The sequence below is a fragment of the Homo sapiens genome, chromosome 2 (genome assembly GCF_000001405.40).
Source record: "Homo sapiens chromosome 2, GRCh38.p14 Primary Assembly".
Classification (NCBI taxonomy): Eukaryota; Metazoa; Chordata; class Mammalia; order Primates; family Hominidae; genus Homo; species Homo sapiens.
In genome coordinates this window covers 118,831,856-118,850,990 of record NC_000002.12, presented here as the reverse complement: position 1 = coordinate 118,850,990, position 19,135 = coordinate 118,831,856, and the positions used below count along the sequence as shown (strand labels likewise).

General features: G+C 55.3%; 1 protein-coding gene and 1 long non-coding RNA gene across 3 annotated transcripts, besides 7 other annotated features; both read left to right on the top strand.

Moving 5' to 3' along the window:
• Nucleotides 204-756: an enhancer, noted in NCBI's record as "H3K27ac-H3K4me1 hESC enhancer chr2:119607811-119608363 (GRCh37/hg19 assembly coordinates)". NCBI's record gives its function as "activates a minimal SCP1, AML or CMV promoter by ChIP-STARR-seq in naive H9 embryonic stem cells {active_cell/tissue: H9 hESC(naive)}" and the evidence as "EXISTENCE:reporter gene assay evidence [ECO:0000049][PMID:30033119]".
• On the top strand, nucleotides 3,343-8,820 carry EN1 (engrailed homeobox 1). The gene is made up of 2 exons (NM_001426.4): nucleotides 3,343-4,685; nucleotides 7,737-8,820. The coding sequence occupies exons 1-2, from the start codon at nucleotides 3,824-3,826 to the stop codon at nucleotides 8,051-8,053; spliced, it is 1,179 nt and encodes a 392-aa protein (NP_001417.3). The 5' UTR covers nucleotides 3,343-3,823; the 3' UTR covers nucleotides 8,054-8,820.
• Nucleotides 5,025-5,674: an enhancer, noted in NCBI's record as "H3K27ac-H3K4me1 hESC enhancer chr2:119602893-119603542 (GRCh37/hg19 assembly coordinates)". NCBI's record gives its function as "activates a minimal SCP1, AML or CMV promoter by ChIP-STARR-seq in naive H9 embryonic stem cells {active_cell/tissue: H9 hESC(naive)}" and the evidence as "EXISTENCE:reporter gene assay evidence [ECO:0000049][PMID:30033119]".
• Nucleotides 5,025-6,324: a biological region, named in NCBI's record as "H3K27ac-H3K4me1 hESC enhancers GRCh37_chr2:119602243-119602892 and GRCh37_chr2:119602893-119603542".
• Nucleotides 5,464-5,758: a silencer, noted in NCBI's record as "tiled region #9730; K562 Repressive non-DNase unmatched - State 4:PromP". NCBI's record gives its function as "represses a minimal TATA promoter and a strong SV40 promoter by Sharpr-MPRA in K562 cells {active_cell/tissue: K562}" and the evidence as "EXISTENCE:reporter gene assay evidence [ECO:0000049][PMID:27701403]".
• Nucleotides 5,675-6,324: an enhancer, noted in NCBI's record as "H3K27ac-H3K4me1 hESC enhancer chr2:119602243-119602892 (GRCh37/hg19 assembly coordinates)". NCBI's record gives its function as "activates a minimal SCP1, AML or CMV promoter by ChIP-STARR-seq in naive H9 embryonic stem cells {active_cell/tissue: H9 hESC(naive)}" and the evidence as "EXISTENCE:reporter gene assay evidence [ECO:0000049][PMID:30033119]".
• Nucleotides 8,168-8,748: an enhancer, noted in NCBI's record as "H3K27ac-H3K4me1 hESC enhancer chr2:119599819-119600399 (GRCh37/hg19 assembly coordinates)". NCBI's record gives its function as "activates a minimal SCP1, AML or CMV promoter by ChIP-STARR-seq in naive H9 embryonic stem cells {active_cell/tissue: H9 hESC(naive)}" and the evidence as "EXISTENCE:reporter gene assay evidence [ECO:0000049][PMID:30033119]".
• LINC01956 (long intergenic non-protein coding RNA 1956) lies at nucleotides 14,845-17,291 on the top strand. 2 transcript variants are annotated; one of them, NR_186613.1, is made up of 4 exons: nucleotides 14,845-15,996; nucleotides 16,404-16,503; nucleotides 16,588-16,644; nucleotides 16,859-17,291. It is a non-coding gene; the product is annotated as a long intergenic non-protein coding RNA 1956 (long non-coding RNA). The 2 variants fall into 2 exon arrangements; NR_199712.1 differs by having other exon boundaries at nucleotides 14,845-16,503.
• Nucleotides 17,219-17,987: an enhancer, noted in NCBI's record as "H3K4me1 hESC enhancer chr2:119590580-119591348 (GRCh37/hg19 assembly coordinates)". NCBI's record gives its function as "activates a minimal SCP1, AML or CMV promoter by ChIP-STARR-seq in naive H9 embryonic stem cells {active_cell/tissue: H9 hESC(naive)}" and the evidence as "EXISTENCE:reporter gene assay evidence [ECO:0000049][PMID:30033119]".

Below are 19,135 nucleotides of genomic sequence, written 5' to 3'. Positions count from 1 at the left end.
CTTGTCGTTCTCCACTTTTATCTGGGCTATCCCCAAGAAAAGGGTACTTGGGGACAATCAACTTATTGCAGAGACGCAGCCCAGTCCATGGCCTTCTGTGCGCCTCTAGCTCAGGTGACTGCATAGCTCAGAACTACAAGGCCATAGAAATACGCACTGGGTACCCCCACACTTCCCTACCTTCGGCCCAAGAGCAGATGGCATTTGGAGAAAGGGGCTCTATTCCATTTGAGTCAGGCTTCCCCACCTGCTACCTGCAGGCCCACCTCTCTGCCACCCCGGCCTGGGCATCTATCAAGTTGAAAGTAATTCCTTAGCTCCCAAAGGCAGAAACGAGTACCCCCAAAAGGACCGCCACACAAATATACCCACTCGTGCATATACAATCCTTTACACACACCCTAACCCTTTACTCACATACTTGTACACACAACTCACCCTGCCCGTAGTTCCTCACTCACACGCCCAATCCTGGGCTCACTCAGAGTCCTGTGAAACCCTCACCCATCCCTCTCGGCCAACATTTGTTCACTCAGCCCTCACACACTTCACTCGCATGCTTGACAAGACGCCAATGCGCTCACACAGAGTTCCCAATGGCATGTTCATTTGCAGGAGGGAGAAGAGGGCGTAGGGTCTGGGTGGAGGTCATGGAGCGCAGAGCGGCGCGGGGTACCGAGCGTCCGGCCCAGGCCGGGCCTCGGGGAGGTGGGGGGACGAGCCAGCGCGCAGAGTGCCGCCTAATCCAGCTCGAGCTCGTGGGCCGCGGGTGCATTTATCATCCCATTACTGTAACAAATCCGGGCTCCACTACATGAAAGGTAAAATGAATTACCGACGTTAAGCCGTCAATAAAGTCATTTCTGTAAATGGTGTCTCCAAAGGGCCGCCGTATTATTCAGCTGGCTTTATCAGCTGGCTGGAAATTACGTGGAGGAGCCGGGCCGCGCGGCGCGCGGGGCCGCTCACTTTGATTAAGCGTCTTGCCAGCGCGATGTGACAGAGCTTTTGACCAGGGTTTTATTCACAGGCCTGTGATGAACGCCAAGCTGATCAGGCGGAATGAAGAGTAATTAAAACCTATAAATTATCTTCCGCAGCCCTTCTCGAGGCGTCTCCTGCAGGCGAGATAAGGCGTCGAGACCCTATTTACCGCGCTGAAAGGGACCGCGGCGCACAAAAGCTACGCAGCTAAATAGGATATTGATAGTGTCCTAATTAGAATTTAATTAAGTACCCACGCTTGCTTGCGGGATAAAGATTTCAATTTTGCGAACTTAAATATAAATAAAATCCCACCCCCATTTCGGGGAGAAGGGGTGGGGGCGCCTGGAGATTTCGGGGAGCCCTTGGGTGTGCTACTGAAGAGGACTCGGGAGACTCCAAGGTGGGGTTGGAGGCGGCTTGGGAAGGTAGAGAAGACTGCAGCGCAGCGTTAGGGAGAGAGGTTTTCTCCCCTAGGCTGCAGCGCAAGTCTAGCCGGGAACTCAGCCCCGGAAATCGGGGGACCCTCGCCTGCTCCCAAGATGCGGTGAGCAATATAAATTCCTGCTCTCCACCAGCCCTTTTGAGAAACTTCAGCTACTGTGGTGGTGGTTCGGCTTGTTGTGGGTTTAGTTGCATGTTCCTCCTAGCCTAACCCTCTGTGACTTTTCTGGAAAACTGGAGGTAGGGGGATTCTTTCGCATGTCACAAATAGACAATATTTCCAAAGGGATCCTTTCTCTACTGTCCCAGTTGCGGAGGGCGTTCAGGGCGAGGAGGTCCGCTGGAGCTCTAAGATGACACCCCCGAAGGCCTCGTTTGCTGACGCCTTTCTCGGCCACCGCAGGCTTCAGCATAGTCGGATACTGGTCCTCCAAAACGAATCCGGAGACAAGTCCCGCAGGTGCCTAGAGCTTCAGTCCACACGCCACCCCCGTCCCTCACATTCCCGGTTATGAGAAAATTTTGGGGGTGCCTCGACCAGGAAATAGCGAAAAAGAGATCGGCAGACGGGAGAATGATAGCAGCTGGAGGAACGGCATTTCCCTCAAACTAGGGAAGAACGCACAGAGCTGGAGCCGGAGGCACCCAGGGAGTTGGGAGCAATCCCAGGAAATTCAGTCACCCGGCAATTGAGGGAAACTCCCTGTTCACAACTTCAGCTAGCCAGGGCAAATACTTGGGGTGCAGCGCTTTCATTTATTTGATTTTACTTTGCAGGGAAATCTAACACAGAGGTTACCCTGAACTCTAAAAGCTAGGGCCTAGCGCGCATCCGCGTTCTGACTCGCCGGCCCCGGGGCCCTCCTGAGATTAATCTGCGTTGCCCGGACTCCCACTGCCAGGGAAGGTCCAGGCAACTGGCTCTGGGGCTATTCCTAGCCCTCTGGGCTTGGCTCTATGGCGCCAGGGCAGCTCCAGGGTGTTGTCGAAAGTCTGGACCGGGAAGGGCATGGGTGCGGATTCCCCACAAAGGGAAAGCAATGCAGCGGGCCGGCAGGAGACGTACAAACGTAAACGTGCGACGCTAGCTAGGCGCAGCGGGCCTTTCAGATTTTGCTATTTGTGAAAAACAAATTGCGCCTCTGAAAGTAACCAACTCTAGGTCTATTTCACATCACCGACCTCCCTGTCTCACTCCCCCTCCCTCCACTACACACACCCAAACCCACACCCACCCACAAACACACAAACCGGCAGTGACAACAACCACCCATCCTTCAATAACAGCAACCAGAGACAGAGGAGAAAATAAAAAGCTGAGTTTCTTAGGCGTGGGGGTGCAAAACAGCCAGGCTCCTGCCTACTGCCCCTGCTCCCGTAGCTCACAGACCCATAATCCTGCATTTCTCTAACAAGTTGTTTATGGAGTTGCTTCTCCATTTGCCTACATCCCAAAATTCACCCCTCCCGGGTTTCTTCTGCCCCCTCCTGAGTCCCGGCCTGAAGGAGGGGGAGGGACGCGGGTGCGGGCGCGGGTGGGGGAGGGCGGACCCGACGCACAGGGCCAGCGCCGAGGCGCCCCCTCTCCGCCAGCGGTTGACGCCCCCGGATTATTTATCCGCAAAGTCCCGCGCGCGCCCATTGGGCCGAGGCCCGAGTGTCAGCGCGAGTCCCGGCTCGCCATTGGCTCCGCACACGTGCGGCCCTGACTCACGTGCTTCCGGTTTGAAGGCAAAAAGTGTGCCTGGGTGATTTTTTTTTTAAGCGAGAGAGTTTGTGCAAAGATCCGAGCTGTCAGAGATTTGAAAAAAAAAAAAAAAAAAAAAAAAAAAAAAACAGCCCGGCGCTGGCGGAGACGCGCTCTCCCTGCAAAAAAAGCAAAGGCGATTAAAGGCGCTGCCAGCCTCACGCTCTGGGCACAGCTGAGCGTGACACTCGGGGAAGTCAAACCCCTCACTACTGCCTAGGAAGATGGCTAGACTTTAAATACTATTTTTTTCCCTTTAAGAAAAAAATTATTGGAGCTTTTTTTCTTGCTTTCTTTTTCCTTTTCTTTTTCTTTTTTTCCTTCATTTTTTTGGCCGTGGCTTACTCCCCATTTAAATCAAATCATTGAATCTGGTTGCAGAAAGAAAAAAGAAATAGCCAAGTGTCTCCATATCTGGATGTCTACAAATTAGAGAGGGAGAGACAGCGAGATCTATCTGCTAGATAAGAACGAGCGATCCAGGCCAGACGCCTGAGCTTTTTTCCTGCACCCGCCCCGTGCCTTCGCTGAGGCTTCGCCTGCCTCCTTCCTCCGCGCACCCCCACGGGCCGCTGGCAAAGTGGGGTGGGGAGCGAGGCGGTGGGGGCGGGGGCCGGCGCGGCGGCCGGGGCGGCGGGGCGGCCGAGCATGGAAGAACAGCAGCCGGAACCTAAAAGTCAGCGCGACTCGGCCCTCGGCGCGGCGGCGGCGGCGACTCCGGGCGGCCTCAGCCTGAGCCTCAGTCCGGGCGCCAGCGGCAGCAGCGGCAGCGGCAGCGATGGAGACAGCGTGCCGGTGTCCCCGCAGCCTGCGCCCCCCTCGCCGCCCGCGGCGCCTTGCCTGCCGCCCCTGGCCCACCACCCGCACCTCCCCCCACACCCCCCGCCCCCGCCGCCTCAGCATCTCGCGGCGCCTGCTCACCAGCCGCAGCCAGCGGCCCAGCTGCACCGCACCACCAACTTTTTCATCGACAACATCCTGAGGCCGGACTTCGGCTGCAAAAAGGAGCAGCCGCCACCGCAGCTTCTGGTGGCTGCGGCGGCCAGAGGAGGCGCAGGAGGAGGAGGCCGGGTCGAGCGTGACAGAGGCCAGACTGCCGCAGGTAGAGACCCTGTCCACCCGTTGGGCACCCGGGCGCCAGGCGCTGCCTCGCTCCTGTGCGCCCCGGACGCGAACTGTGGCCCACCCGACGGCTCCCAGCCAGCCGCCGCCGGCGCGGGCGCGTCTAAAGCTGGGAACCCGGCTGCGGCGGCGGCGGCGGCCGCGGCGGCAGTGGCGGCGGCGGCGGCGGCCGCAGCAGCCAAGCCCTCGGACACCGGTGGCGGCGGCAGTGGAGGCGGCGCGGGGAGCCCCGGAGCGCAGGGCACCAAATACCCGGAGCACGGCAACCCGGCTATCCTACTTATGGGCTCAGCCAACGGCGGGCCCGTGGTCAAAACTGACTCGCAGCAGCCTCTCGTATGGCCCGCCTGGGTGTACTGCACACGTTATTCGGATCGTCCATCCTCCGGTGAGTACCCAACTCCGGGCTGCGCCATGCCTTCTGGCCCCGCGGACCGCCCCAGAACGCCAAGCTGCGGCGCTAGGGAGAGCAAACCCGGCCTCGGGTACTCCAGTCTCTCACGCCTGCTTCCTCACCCCAGTTCCAGTCACAACCGAATGTTCATCCAGCTATGCGATCCTGGCCTCTGCGGCCACCACCCGAGAAGCTACAGCTCGTGGCACAGGAGGCTCGGGTCTCGATTCTTTGATTTTGAACTCTGAATCCCTGGGGCCTTCTTTGTCTCTTATCTTTATTATTCTTAGGAAAAGTACATAGTCAGTGATTTTCTTTCCAGGGTGTTTAGATAAGGCAGGAAGGTGGGCCTAGTGATGTGTGTCTGAAATCCCACCAGCCTGATCGTCCGAAGGCCAGATTTGACCAGAGAAGGCCTTGTTCAGAAAAATTATATTCACTGTGTGTCCTTACAGACACAAACACCATCTCGATATTTTCTGCGGAGAGACCGTTTACATTGATAAACATGGGAAACACAGGAAGACAGGGAGGAAAGCGTCTGAAAGCCGTCCCTCTCCCCCGGCTGGGTAGCGAAAAGAGTCTGACCCGGGTGGGTAGAAACCAGGGAAAGGCAGTTGCCAAAAAGGTGGGTGCTGGCAGCCCCTGGTTTTCTGGAGCTGAAAAACAGTGGGAGAGGAGAGAAAACAGGTCAGGCTCAGGCCAGGAAGCGTGTCCAAGGGCATGAGAGCCAGTTTCCTCCGTAGCTTCTCCGCGGAACGGTTCCCGCATCCTCCCCGCGCGGCGCTTTCCTTTTTTCACCCGCACATCCAGCAGACTTCTGGCATCCGTAGGCCTGTTTTTCTCGGCTTTCCTTCCACCACTTTTCCGTGTGCCCCTCGCGCTTGGCGAACCCGAGGAGGAGACCTGAGCTGGGCTCCGGGAGAGAAGGCCAAGGCCTGCCTGACGCCCCGGCCCGCAGTGTCTGGGAGAGCGGCAGAAGCTTTGGCCCAAGATCAGCACTCCAGACACCCGGTCCGGCAGGGGGCCGGGAACAACGTAGCCACGCGCCGCTTTCCTCTGGCTGGTCTCTCGCCGCCCCACAGCTGCCGGCCGGGCGCGGATCGATGCGCACTATCAGCTCCCGCCATCTCGAGCCCCGTTATTGACACGTCGGGCTCCCTGAACCTCCGAAAAGCTGCTTTGATTGACTCGCCTGATGGATAGAGTGATTGAGCTGTCAGGCTGCACGGCTCGGGCTGGCCGGGAGACTAGGAACGATTTTATTACAAGAGTCCGTGCCTCTGCACACACATACAACAACACTTCAACATGTCCCGGATGCAGAACGGGCAGTGGGGCCTTTTTGGGGCTGTGTGCATTTCTTGGGCTATTTCTCCCCGCTCAGCTAATTACGAATCAAAACCCCAGTTCTGCTCTGGAGAGGGCCTTGGCTTTGTTCTTGGCCACTTTCCTTCTTATGGGCCTGGGTAGGTAGGGGACCAGCTCCTTCTCCTGCTTGGGCAGTTGGGGGAGGAGGGGATGAGCCTCGACCCAGATCTGAGTCGCTGCAGTATGCTAGGCCTGGACTCTTTGTCATAGGACAGCTGGTTACCCCAGCCTCCTGCCTGCCCCAGGAGTAGGCTGCCCAGCCTTCCTCTCTGTAGCTAGGTTTGGAGATGCCGGCAAAGATCCTTCTTTCCAGACAGTTTTAGAGATGAACAGGCCTGACAGGGACTTAACTTGGTTCAGCAAGCTACCATATCCAAGGCAGGACCCAGCAAGTAAATGCCAGAAGACTTGGGTGTGGAAGCAGGTGGGCAGAGGTGCAGGCTTTTGAGGCACACACCAACAGTTCAATCCTCTCCTGGTTTTCCCGCTTTCCCTCCCTCCTTTCTCAGTGGGCCCTCCTCCCAGACTAGTATTTGAGGGGAACTTCACCTTCCTAAGGAGGTTTCCTGTGGCCCCTTCCCATTCCTATCTGGTGGTCAAAGCACATTTTTTTTTTTCTGGATTGTCCCTGCTTCCCTCCCTCTCCTTTTTGCTCATAGGTGGGGGAAGGGGCTGCAGTCTCCTTGCAAATGTCATCAGTAGGCAGAGAAAGCCAATCCGGCTTGTTTTTGTTATTCAGGAGTTTTTAATCCTGAAATTGCATCAGTTGAAAGGGGAGATAAGGAAGACCCAGATAAGAGAGACCCTGCCCCACGCAGCCGGTTAGAGGAATGTGGAAGGCCCTCCCTTTCTTATTGGCACCATCCAAGGGGCAAGGCTGAAAACCCAGAGCCAGGGTCATGAGGATGGATCAGGGCCTTTTCTCCTTCAGAGAAGGGGTGGTCCCTGCATCCCTGAGACCCTAGAAAAGGCTTCCTTTAGGCCAAAGAGAAAGAAGGCGAGGAGGTGTGTGTGGGAGGGAGGGGTGCGGGGAGGGGGGCAGACACCAAATACTTTGGAGCTAAGCAGCCCTCTCCCAGCCGGCTCACTATCCCGTTGTTTTCTGAGGTCAATAGCTACAAGCAGATGGGGTCTTATTGTAGTTTCTCCTGTAGGTATGATTCTTGAGGAGGAGAGGAAGATTTGTTTGCAGGCTGGCGACTCCCCCAGGGCCTGCCCTCACTGCCCCAGTCCTATCTATTCCGGGGCGGTGAGGACAGCAGGCCCCTGACCCCCAACTCTGGGCTGGGCCATATGAGCTCCAAATATCTCCTCATCTTGGATTCCTGCCTTCTTGGCTTGGAAATGTTGTGATTTCGGTCTGTCCCTGACTGTCCTGTGAGAATTGGGGTGTGGGGTGCACCTACAACCTCAACCAGCTTTCCTTCACTGCTCCTTTGCCCTCCCAAAGGGAACCCGGGGACCCCAGTGGTCTGGTGAGGGGCACTTCGATCCAGGGATTGGCTGGCGGGAGGGAGCCAGGGGTTCAGCAGGGCCTCCGAGATCGCCCCGGAAGCGCGGGGCTCGCGGCCCAGCTCGGCAATGCTATTCTCACGGCTTCCTTTGCCCTCTCCCCCCTCCCTTCTGCCCTCGGTCCCCACCCCCACCCCACCCCGGCCCTCTCCGCCGCTGCAGGTCCGCGCACCAGGAAGCTGAAGAAGAAGAAGAACGAGAAGGAGGACAAGCGGCCGCGGACCGCGTTCACGGCCGAGCAGCTGCAGAGACTCAAGGCGGAGTTCCAGGCAAACCGCTACATCACGGAGCAGCGGCGGCAGACCCTGGCCCAGGAACTCAGCCTCAACGAGTCCCAGATCAAGATCTGGTTCCAGAACAAGCGCGCCAAGATCAAGAAAGCCACAGGCATCAAGAACGGCCTGGCGCTGCACCTCATGGCCCAGGGACTGTACAACCACTCCACCACCACGGTCCAGGACAAAGACGAGAGCGAGTAGCCGCCACAGGCCGGGGCCGCGCCCGCGCCCCCTCCCGGCACCGCCGCCGTCGTCTCCCGGCCCCTCGCTGGGGGAGAAAGCATCTGCTCCAAGGAGGGAGGGAGCGCAGGGAAAAGAGCGAGAGAGACAGAAAGAGAGCCTCAGAATGGACAATGACGTTGAAACGCAGCATTTTTGAAAAGGGAGAAAGACTCGGACAGGTGCTATCGAAAAATAAGATCCATTCTCTATTCCCAGTATAAGGGACGAAACTGCGAACTCCTTAAAGCTCTATCTAGCCAAACCGCTTACGACCTTGTATATATTTAATTTCAGGTAAGGAAAACACATACGTGTAGCGATCTCTATTTGCTGGACATTTTTATTAATCTCCTTTATTATTATTGTTATAATTATTATAATTATTATAATTATTTTATCCCCTCCCCCACCGCCTCGCTGCCCCCGCCCAGTTTCGTTTTCGTTGCCTTTTTCATTTGAATGTCATTGCTTCTCCGGTGCCTCCCGACCCGCATCGCCGGCCCTGGTTTCTCTGGGACTTTTCTTTGTGTGCGAGAGTGTGTTTCCTTTCGTGTCTGCCCACCTCTTCTCCCCCACCTCCCGGGTCCCTTCTGTCGGTCTGTCTGTTCTGCCCCCCTTTCGTTTTCCGGAGACTTGTTGAGAAATACGACCCCACAGACTGCGAGACTGAACCGCCGCTACAAGCCAAAGATTTTATTATGTTCAGAAACCTGTAGTCTGAAATAAAGTGTACACTGTGCTCACGAGCGCTGGCGGCTCTCCTGTTTGCGGGCTCGGGAAGGACGTGGGTCCGGGCACACAGCGCCCCAGCGCCCCTGCGCACGCCGGGCGGGGAGCCGGCCGGGCCTTGCGATCACCGCACAACGAATGCAGGGCGAAGGGGAAGCGCGACCCAGATTTGGGTTTAGCCTGGGTCTGAAGGGTCTGGCGGGACACGCCTGGTCTCCGATTGCGTTCAAGGGAACTCAAAGGCCGACAACCACAGTCCTGGCTTCGGAAACGCTGCCTGGGCTGCGGGGCAGCTCCCCGCACCGGTCCAGGCCCAGCCCAGTGGCGGCCTCCTCCTGTACAAACTGCTTTTCACTCCAACCTGCACTTTTCTTTTTCTTTCTTTCTTTTATTTCCCCTGGTGCAGGTTTTGCTGCAGATTTTTTTTATCCAGAGATAGAAGGGGGCCTGCCTTCCTCCCTCCCCGACAGCCCGCTTGGGCGAGGGGCACTTTGGCCTGGCCTCTTGGCCGCCTGGACTCACTGCACTTCGTTTGCGGGAGGGCTTCTGTTGGCGAAGCAGCAGGTCCGGGGGCGGCCTGCGGAGCCTCGCGGGGCTCGGATCTCCTGGGCCCGCAATGCCGGAGGAGAGGAGGCCCAAATGCTGGGAAAGCTGTTCGGAGTGGCTGCTTGGGCCTTGAACCCGAGGTGGGCGCACGTCTGCCGTATCTGGGCCCTAAACCAAAGAGGGTTCCCTTAGGCATCCCAACAAAGCCTAACTTTCTTCCTCACCAAGGGGGGCGCACATAGAAGCCCCCAGGGCCCTCAGGACACCCTGGGTTCCCAGAAGGAAATGTCTGGCCTCTTGCTGCTAACACTGGGGCCCATCCTTCCAGAGCAGGAGCTGCTCTCAGATCTTAAGAGGTTAAGGGGAGGAAGGGAAGTTTCCTTCTCAGGAGGTATTATCTTTGTCCAGGATTTTTTTAAATTGTAAATTCCACTCCCACATTTTTTCTCTCTTCGGCAATATGTATGTATATACCCACACGTGTGCAGCTAGACGGGCAGGTGCCCACACATACTTGTGTGCATATACAATAATGTGCAGATATTGGTGCACCTAAGTTCCTACCAGTTTTTTGTGTATTCCTGTACCCGTGAGTATTGTGCAACTGATTTTCTTCTCTAATTAGATACACAATTGGACGTTTGTGAGTTCACTGTGTGTACATGCATGAATTTGTGTTTGCACACTGGAATGTCTGCAGGTGTGTTTGCTGGGTTTGTTCATGTGTGAGATCCCTGTTCTCTGTGCTCTTCCCTTGAGTTTCTCAACTGTTTTTGTAGGATTGATTTTGTGCAAAATGATAATGGCTAGTTATTCCACCTTTTTTATTGAAAAATTTTCCCTGATTTGGCCCAATGTACTGTTTGCTCCTGGCCGGGGAACTAACAGGGCTAGATCTCAATCCCAGGAAGCCTAGGTCCCCTCCAAATCCCTACATAAGGGTTTGGCGGCTAGAGTGGAATTGGAGGGTGCATTTGACACTGCTGTGGGTTCCCAACTTTATTGCAATTAATTTCCTTCCTTCCATCTGCCCATTGTTTTCTGGAGGAGTAACTCTTGCATATAATAGGTGCTCAACCAATCTTTGTGGGCAGAGTTAGAAGCAGTGAGATGGGCCCTTCCCTGGGGTTGGTCTAGGGGAGTTGTTTTCTGGTAGTCAAAAGCCTGTGCTTTGCTTGCCTTGGGGAGTGGGCTTGGACTCTTCAAGCCTTCCAGGCTTTCCTGTTAAACAGTCTGAGGCCTGTGTCTTGGAGCACCCTTCTCCTAATACCTCTCAGAATTTCAGGAAGAGTCCCATTCCATTTCACCCTCCCAGCACATCAGATGTGATGTTAAGGATGCTCAACTCTATATATTGGAGAACCTTACTATTTTGAATGTCTAGGAATTGGCTACACTCCCTTCTCCCCTCCCTATTGTGGCCTCTTAGGATATTCAAGTCCCCCAAGACTACCAGGTCCAGAGGCTGGGACAGAGGTCGGTGTGAGCAGCAACTCTAGGAACCACCCCATTCCTCATGCTCCCCTTCCTCTATCCAAGAGATCAAAGTCAAGAGCTCTTTCCTTTAACCCAGCGAGAGGAGGAGAAGGTGGTCACCCATCCCCATGATTGTGTCAGTAAAGTGTATAGACGTGAATGTCATTATTATGTAATTTGCTTTCTTGCCCATTATCTCCTTTTATCTTCCAATCACTATGGGAAAATGGATTTTTCTTCATTGTTCAGTGAAAGAACATGAAGCTCTGAGAACTTAAACATTTTGTTTGTGCCTCCTCCTTGACTATGTATGTCTAAGTCGCATCGACCTCAAGGATCTGGCCAAGGCCCTGAAGCCATCATCCAGGATGACTTTCCCATCTTCTCTCCATTTTTCCTTCTTTCTGATTGGAGTAGAGGAGAGGGGAGGAGGATTCTGGTGGGACCTTTTTCTTGCACGCCCTTTTAAAAAAAGAAACTAATAATGATCATAAACGGGCATTGATTTCTCTGATTTATGGGGCTGGCTTAGTGAGCCACCTGTGTATTCAGGTCTGGGGCTGCAGTGAAATAAATACTTGAGCACGCCATCCCAACTGCCTCATTTTCTGCTTTTCCTTTTTTTTAAAGATTGAATTGAACCATAAACTTAAATCTTCCTCAGCCTAAAAGGAAATACATGCTAGCTGAGTCTAAACAGTATTGATCCCTGGTTCTTTCTGAGGGCAAAGGTCTCTGTTTTCTTGCTGGAAACTCTCTTTTCTTCAGTAGGGTTAGGGGGAAGGCCATGGATGGGGCTGAGGGAAGGAGGAAGGAAAGTGGAAGGAGAGGGTGTTGTGGTATTTGGGAATGTGGGGTTGCTTGGTGTGATTGCGTTGGTTCGTGTGTATTCGTGGGTTGTACTGTGTGTGGGCATTTGTATAGGGATGGTACTGAGTATATTTATTTAGGTTTGGGAGGTGGAAGTGTGTGCTTTGGGTATATGGCCTCTAGTAGTGACTGTTTGATGTCTGTGGGTGTGTGTATGTGTACCCAGTTCTTAAGCTCCCTAGATGGGGCTGCCCAGGGAACAGAGCAGTGACCTGCTAGCCTGTACCCTCCCAGGCCCCTACACCCATCTGTCACCTGTGGCAGGGTGTCTAGAGATAATACCATGGGGGAGGCCACTGTGCCCCAGGACACTCCAAGCCCCAACACACACAGTAGAAAAAAGGCCCCAAAAAGGGCCAAGCTACAAGGCAGGGGTGAGCTTTGGCTGTCTCCTGGAGGTCCAGGAGATGCAGGCCAGGGCCACACTGCACCCTGGATGAATGTGTCTGCCGCAGCTACTGTGGGATGGCCATCAATTCCTTCCATGGTCAGCCTGGTTTTTCCTTTGTGTGAATGAGACAGGCCGTTCTTCTGGCGATCTAGTCAACCCACTATCCTCTGCTTCCACCATACAGGGGAGCAGGGCAGAGAAGGGCAGAGAGGCATCCAGGTGTCCTCCCCAGCTTCACCTCAGAGCCTGGACCCTTTTAGTCTGGATGTCACAGTGGGTTCAAATGGAAGACTATGCTCATCCCCGTCTGTGGGAGGTGGCAGAGTATCTTCATCCCTCCTCACTCCCACCAGAAACCTCCATTGTCCTCTCTCACTTTGAACTCTGAGGAGAGGGTTTCTCTTCTTTGGCAACCTGTGGAAAGGGGAAGGGCTAGGGACTCTGCCAGCCTCCACGCCTCCCCAAATGCTTTAGGCCAGTCTTTTAATGCAATGTCAGTGTTGGAAGGGTCCTCAGAGATTCTTGAATTACAAAATCCTGAGAGAGAAAGTGCCCCAAGAGAAAGCACAAGGCAAATGAGAGGCAAAGTCCTCAGATTTCCTATCAGTCCAGGCCTCTCCTCACTGTGCCGTCAAGTGGGTAATGTCAACATGCATGCAGTCACAATGCACACATGTACACACTTCCACACATACAAATGCATAAGCATGCACACACCCATGTGGATACATATGCACACATGCAAAACATAGGCATGTATACAAATGTCAGTGGACCAATATACAGTGTGTTCACAGCAAGCACATGGACATTGCCTGTGTAGAAGGTTCTGGCACACAACTATACATGAGCCAGGAATACACATACTGGTGTCCAAGATGCACCTGCATGCCCCAGCTGGTGGGCTTCACCCCTAGCCAGGGGAGGGAAAAGACATTGTTTCCAGGGCTCAGGACAGACCTGTGTGCCCTCTCCTTTCTGTGGAAGCCACCAAAAGGAGAGGCAGCCCCTTCTCTCTCCCCTGGAGGCAGCTGGTCCAGTCCAGGTGCCTGTGCTCAGACACAGACCCAATGCTACAACCCTCTCCCACCAGCAAGTACACTCAGTGCTCTGCCAGCTGTAGCTCTTGGGACCGGAGCAGACCCAGGGCAAGAGGAGGTAAACATCCCAAACAGATTTCTCAGAGGCTTGGTAAGTCATGGGCCATTAAAATTTGCTCCTTGAATTTGCTTCGAATACAGCCTTCTCCACCTGGGTGCCACTCTGGAGATGGAGTGGGCCCCTCCACTCTGGAATTCTCCCCACAGGTATGGGGGTGGGGTGTTTTGAGGACATTTGGGAAGATTTCAGGCTATAGTAATGGAAGACTCTAGGTATGTGTGACCCAATAGAAAAGCAGAAATGTATTGTGTGTGTGCATGCACACACATCCTGAAGAGAGTATTCTTATCAACAGCCTGTGACTCTGCCTTTGGCAGGCAGGTGGGTGGGAGTGCCAGGAGGGGGCAGGGGATTGTAGAGGAGACTAGTGAGTACTCGCCTCCCCCTCCTCAACTCTGATGAGGAGTGGGGTATAAAGCCGGGCACAACTTAGATTCCTCTCTGCCCCCTGCCACCACACAAGCGCACGGAGAAAGCTCCATCTGGGGTGCTCGCATCCTCCCCTCCTCCTGAAGACCTGGTCTGCAGGCCTCCAGGACCAGCGCAGAGGGGCGGGAGCCTCCTGTGAGAGAGATGAGAGTCCAAAGACAGAAGGGACCCAGGAGAATTTCTGATTCAACCACGACTACTGCAAGAGTGGGCTTGGGCCCTGACAGCAGCAATCGGGCCCTGACAGCAACCATTTCCTGCAGCGAGACCCACGGCTCTGCCATCTGATAAATAGAACACAGTGGAAAACTGGACGGAGAGAGCTGGGGAGAAGCCGCCTCCACACTCCCAATTTCAATACTGAATCCTGAAGAAAACAAAAGCGAGTCCCAGTAACGACCACAGCAGGGCTCTCCTTGCCCTTCCCCCGCCCCTTCACCTCCAGGTACAGGACTTGTCCATTTAGCAGAGTGCAGGCAATTCAGAAGATGTCACTCCCAGAAATTCAAAATTAACATGATCATTAATCACTGAGGGTCTTCCGTGCACATTGCTAGCCATTTAACACAATTTATTTCCTTCAACAACATACATTTCTGTGTGTTGCCTATTATAATCCCCACCTTACAGATAAGAAAAGTGAGGTCCAGGGTCATCCTGCTAAGGTCTCACCAAATCACGTTGAAGTCTATACTGTAGTTACTTATAAATAGAAGAATGATTCGCAGTCGCATAGCGCAGTGTCAAGTCTCCACATTGGTCCTGGACTTTGGCACCTGGGGGAGCAGGGGGAGCACTGATTTGCGTGAAGGGCTGTTATCCCTCCTCTCCTCTCCTTCAGTCTTAACTAGGAGTAGCCTCAGCACCTCTCCAGCCCTCTTCCCTCTTACTCTGTAACTCAGGTCCGAGTTCCTGCTCACACACCCCTACTCTACACCTCCGACCCGGGTCTCAGATTAGCGTCCCAAGAGATTCCGATCTTTTCCCAGATTAAGATGCCCCTATCCCCGCACAATCAGCAGTTTCCCCCCTCACACTTTCCTCCCGCACCTGCGTCCAGACTGGGTCCGCCGAAACGGCCCGCCCCATCCGGGCGTCTTGGCCTTGCTCCAACCCGGCTGGAGCTGCCCGCGCCCGGCACGGTCCGCGGAGGGCGCTTCTTACAGGCACTTCCGGTCAGCGCAGCCCAGGCCGCAGGAGGGTACGGCCCTGGACCCCCTCTCTCCAGTGGGGGCTGGAGATGGGAGCGCAACTGGGGCTCCGCCGAGGTCTCTGAGGGCACTTCACCCCCGCCCCCGACCCCAGGAACTGCGAAACCCCAAATCTTCTTGCCCACCGCGGGGCGCAGGTCCTGCCCACCCGCTCTCCAGGGACGCGCGCAGAAAGGCAGTCCCGGCCGCCTCCCCGCGCCAGGGTCCGGGCAAGCGTCTGAAAGCTGTGCTTGGGCCGCAGCTCCAGCCATCGCCCCTCACCCCCGGTTCTCCCGGGCCACGTTCATTGCACAGTTTCGATTTGTTTAGGCCGGGGTCTCCTCTTCTTTCCTCAACATCTTTTTCTGTGGGCTCCCCGCCTCCGTATTCCTCCTCATCCTCTGCTCCAAGGTTTCCGTTTTTTGCACCGGAGGCCGCCCTTCTGCGACCAGCCTTCTCCGGCCGCTCGGACTCGGCCTCTGCAGCGGGGTGCACCCGGGCGTCCCTTCGGCTCCCGGCCCTCCCTCTCTCCTCGTCGCCCAGCCCTGCCTCCAACTTTGCGCCCCCGGCTGCCCCGCGCCGCGGCTCAACTGGACATCCGAACGCTCCGACTGTCCGCTCCCCTCCCCTCCCCCGGCCGACACGTGGGGACCAGCGCTGACCTTGGGTGAGGCCACGCTGTCCCCCGCTGCTCTCCAGTCACCCCTGTATCCCTTTGACTCTTGGGCTTCCGAGTAGGGGCTCCCGGAGTATTACCAGGGAAAAGGGGAGCGCCCTTCCCCTGGTAATGAGAGTAGCCACGCAATGTCGGCTGCGCAAACTGGGCCTCAGAGCGGCCAGGCCAGGGTCAAACCAGGAAGAGGGGGAGGGGTGGACAGCAAGGCTGAAGAGACCTGACTTTATTTGTGTTGCTTCAACTGGTCCTGAATGGTTACACGAGGCGCGCGCTCTTGCACACACACCGCGGGCAGCCCAAACCCTCGCTGGCTCGGCCCGCCGGCTCCTCGCCCTGCCAGTCCTGAGCCGGCTCTGAGCCACTGGAGTCAGAGGGCCCGGGCGCCTGCCTTCTCGGTGCGGGCTGGGGAGGACCTGCTCGCGAAGGGCTGCCAACTGAACTTTTCCTGCACCAGGTGAGCCCCTTCTGAAATCCTCGCTGCGGGATACTTTTTTTTTTTTTGAGGGGGCGAGAGGAAGTTGCAGAGCAGCTCCGGCCCCACCACCTCTTTCCGCAATAAAGCCACCATCCTCAGGGCGCAGAGATTTGTTCTCCTCCTCTCCTTTCTTGGAGCTGTGTGGCCAGTTCTCTTACCCAGGCAAAGCTGAGGTTTCCTGCTCGGGTTCACTGTTTACTTAGGATTTCTCTAAAACTAGCGGCGCCAACTTGCCCTCCCTCTGCGCCTTCCCTGGCGGCCCCCACCCAGGCCTGGAGGAACTTCCAGAAGGGTGAGGCCGGGCAGGCGGGGGCGAGGAGGCCGCGGCCTGGCAGGGACTGTTCTTCCATCCTTTGCTGGATTTCCCGCGCCTTCTATCCCTGCAGATTGAGCTCTGGCCTTCACCCCGGGCCTCTTAACTTCAGGTCCGCCCAAGTGCCCTCCTCTCAGCAGGCGGAGGCTCACAGCTCTGTCGGGAGTAGGGAGGTAGGTACCCCAGGGAGGACGGCTGAACCTAGTTCCACGCTTATCTGGCCTCGAGTTTCATATCCATTCTTCATGTCCTCACAGGGCTGACCGCATTGTGGTGCAAAGTGACAAGTCGAGTGTTGACTTGGGGACTGCGATGTAAGTGAGGGACCCTGGGTGTTGGTGGAGGGGAGAATGGAGGGATTATTGCCCACTCCCCCCTCCGCCGTGCCAAATTCAGCCAGAAGTTAACAAAGTTTGCTTTTCGGGATTGAACCCGTCTTGGGTTCTCCGACCGCCCAGGGCTTGGGGTTAGGGAAAGGAGGCGCAGAGTCCTTTGTGCCCATCGCATGCAAACTTTGGCCCCAAACAGGACCGGCCACCAGGAAGGGAACCAGGTATGCTCTGGGGTCCCGGGCGGCGCCCTGGCAGCGGACGTTCCCGCAGGTAGTGCGCGACTTTTGCCCCAGGAAGAAGTCGCTGCTGCCTGCAGGGTGGCCTTGGAGAGGCTCGGGCCTCCATTGAGACTGCTCACTTCCTTTTCTCCGGGACCACGGCTCTTCAGCTTTTTCCGCCCTAGGCTCCCGCGCCTCCTCAGTTCCCCATGGGAGAGTTATTTGAAGGCTCCCCGGAGATGGGATTTGGCCCACCAATCCTAGCAAGTCAAGGCCCGCCCGGCTAGGCGCAGAGAGGCGGCCTCCCTCCCGCTACCCCGGGTGGGGTAGGGACCCCCTTTCCCCAGAGACCCTCTAGCACCTGAGTGTTGATGATCATTACTTTAAATTAAAAGTCTCTTTTCTCCTTTCCGTCTAAGCCTCAACTTAGTTTCAGAGAATGAAGCGTGAAAGCTCTTTTATGGAGATTACCGATGCTTCATTTATTCCCGCGAATGGCAAACACAGCCCGGGAAAAACCGAGCGAGCGAGCTCCTTGTCTCGGATCCTCGGCCGTCTCCGTGTTCACAAGCTCACTTGGCTGTGAGACGCCGTCGGGGAAAGCCCCTGCGTGGCTTCCCTGGGGAAGGGAATTGCGCGTTCGCTAGTGCCGCAGTCCGCGAGCATCCCTGGGCGAGACAGCGGTCTAGCCTCAGAGGCCCCGCCTGGAGAGCTGAGACACTGGGGGCTAGGGAAAGTGGTGGGCGTTCAGGGTGTCAGCCCTGAAGATCCCTGAGGTTCTGTGCTTATGTGAGTGTGACGATCCTGGTTATCCTCACTCCAAACCCACCCTTCCACTCCCTATTTTCAGTGGAATCCAGGGGAACTTGGGGCACATTACACAGGGAGAGCCAGGAGCCCCATGTACCATATCCTGGATCTCATTCACGTTCCCATCCAACCTTACACCAGCCCCTGTAACCTTTTCCGTGCTTGGCCAAGAGGCTGTGTCCATAGTAAGCACTTTGGTGAGGCTGTTTTATATTTGCATGTCTGCCAAATACAGCCCCTAAGAGCAGGCAACACGCCCCTAGAAAGGGTGGGTCATTTTGGAAACAGATCCAGAGCCGTTGAAACTCTGGAATACAAAACTCACCTTGTGATCTGGCGGTTGTCTCCTCCGCGATCAGGGATGCTTTGACTATTTCACAAGGGGCAGTTGGAAGGAAGTGATAATAGCCTCCGGCAGGAAACACAACAGAGGGTTTTTATTCTTTTTAGACAGAACAGAGAAGTTTGAAGAAGGAAAAGTATAAGCTCCTAAAAGAGAATTTCCAGAGTTCAGGCTTAAATTCCTTTGTGACACTGTGTTATTAACTCCAACGCAGTGGCGTCTCCACATTCCGGCCATCCCACTCTGGGAGCCCCTGTAACACAAAAGCTATTGCTGGGGGTGGGGGGAGGTAGCCAGGAGGGGCCACCAGCCTCCCTTCTTCCCACCTTAGCCAATGCACAGGTTGCAGGGAGAGTGCCAGCGCTGCTTTTGTTTAAAGGGGCTTGCTCTAAGACACATCTTACAGACACGAGTATGTGAGTTTCCCTGGGGGGTCAACACGGACCAGGCTAAAAGTGATATAGTCTCCCTTATTATACAGCCAATGACTTGTCTATAGCATGCAAGGAAGTAGGGCCCTTTTGGTTGCCCTGTCTGCCCTTAATGGGTAATGACAGTTTCACCATAAAGGTCCTCAGTGGCTAAGAGGGATAGGGTAAGTGGTTTTTTTGAGAGCAAGATCACCCCACAGAGCCTGGGGAGGTCCCACTGGCGCTATAAGGGAAGGTGAGGCTAGCCGAGGTGGGGGCGGTGCAACATGAAGTCTATTTGAACACACAGCACTAAGTTGGGAAGGGCGGAGAGAGAGCTTGCTGTTGACTGAACAGTTGCCAACTTTCATTAATTACTCAGTCATTTTATTGTGAAAGCAAATACCAAAATGCTCTCATGCCCATTCTGAATTAATGGCCTGCAAAATTAGATGAGGAGGGGGCCAAAGGGTGAGTTGAGGTGTTCAGAGGAGTATTCAGCCCTTCTTTCAAACCTAGAAAGTGCCCCCCACCAAATGTCTGAGGTGCTGGTCAGGGAGTTGAAAACCTAAGGCAAAAGCTATTCCTTAGTGAACAGAGGTTGGATTCTAATGATGACAAACATCAGAAGGAAACCTTCCTTGGGTTCTCATTAATTATTCAATCATGCAACCTGGCTTAAACCAAGTGCC